We start from the raw sequence: 1,453 nt of genomic DNA on the forward strand, positions 1-1,453 counted from the left end.
TGCATGAAAATATAAAGTTATGGACATTTGCTTGGTGACCTAATGTCTTTTTAAAAGGGACTAGTTAAATAAATTAAGGTACATCTATGTAATGTAATACTATTCAATTGTAAAATGGAATAATGTCACTCCCTTATCTGGAAGGAAAACCTCCAAAATACATATGTGAAAAAAAGCATGTGTCAAATGAAGTGCATGGTGTAAAAATGTTTTTATATATTAATGTGTGTATATGTATGCATGTGTATATGTACACACATATATACTCATACATGTATTTAGTTTACATATATATTTATTATGCATAAGGAAACTCACAGAGGATAAATAAGAAATTTCCTGTTAGGATGAATTGAGACTAGGAAGAGGAAACTAGGTGAATATGAAACAGGAGCAGGAGAGAGACTTTTAGTTGTATGACCTCTTATTGTTTAATTTATTTTTGAAAGATGCTAAGGTAATACACATTTAATAAATTAGGTAAGTAAATTGATTTTAAGAAGAAAAAAAAGACATCACCCAGAAAAACCAACAACAATAATAACTGTTTATACTGTGAAATTTATTATTGAGGATTGAATAAAAGTGCACTGAAAGGATACCAATGTTTTATGTTCTTTTTATTTTAAGCTGCCTTAAATTACTTTTGAAAATAGGGGGCAGATAAATAAATAAGTGTATGTTTATGCTAACATTTGTTGGTCAGTATTGATTTATCTAGGGTGAACACTAATTCCTTTAAATTAGGAATGGGGAGTCTCCTTAGGGTTATGCAAAGAATCATAGAAGGCCTAACTGGTGCTCTCTGTTAGGAGATATTCAGTGGGATTTTGTGCTGCTGAAAAAAATGACTGAAGGCATTTTGGCATTCCATACTTCAAGAACAGAATCTCAAAACCAAATGTGGTAAAACTCAGTAACTTCTTACTAGAAACTAAGCTACCTGGAGGGAAACCAAACACACTCTTCTTCCTGCTGGGAAGTGGCAACAGTGGCCTCTGGCATTGTGATGTAAACGGCGCATCAGAATCATCTCACCATCAAGTCTAATCTTTATTACTGCCATTGTACCATTTCGCTTTTAACAACAAAGGTGCTAGAGAGCATAAAACAAATTTCCCTTCTTACACACTATAGCAGGGTCACTCTTCCCCAGAGCATACAATGTTTATATTTTAAAACCTAACAGAATAGTTTCCTTGATATTCTGTTTATAATAGAGGTCCTGATGAAATCCACATGGCTTACATTCAACTGAAGTGAGGTTGATTGACAGAGGAAAGAACTTTAATAATAACTGGAAAGAAATAGGACTGCACCGTGGAGTGAGGAAGTTTACTTCCAAATTATGAGGCTGAGATGGAAATTTTAAGTTCCTTTACTTCTTACCAGAATCATTCTGAACTCCTGTATTCCTTTGACATCAATGGCTAAATTATTTTTCCACCTTCAC

At 33.4% G+C, this 1,453-nt stretch overlaps 1 annotated feature.

Annotated features, from left to right (window-relative positions):
- Positions 795–1,089: a silencer, noted in NCBI's record as "tiled region #143; HepG2 Repressive non-DNase unmatched - State 24:Quies". NCBI's record gives its function as "represses a minimal TATA promoter and a strong SV40 promoter by Sharpr-MPRA in HepG2 cells {active_cell/tissue: HepG2}" and the evidence as "EXISTENCE:reporter gene assay evidence [ECO:0000049][PMID:27701403]".

The sequence above is a fragment of the Homo sapiens genome, chromosome 6 (assembly GCF_000001405.40).
Source record: "Homo sapiens chromosome 6, GRCh38.p14 Primary Assembly".
NCBI lineage: Eukaryota > Metazoa > Chordata > Mammalia > Primates > Hominidae > Homo > Homo sapiens.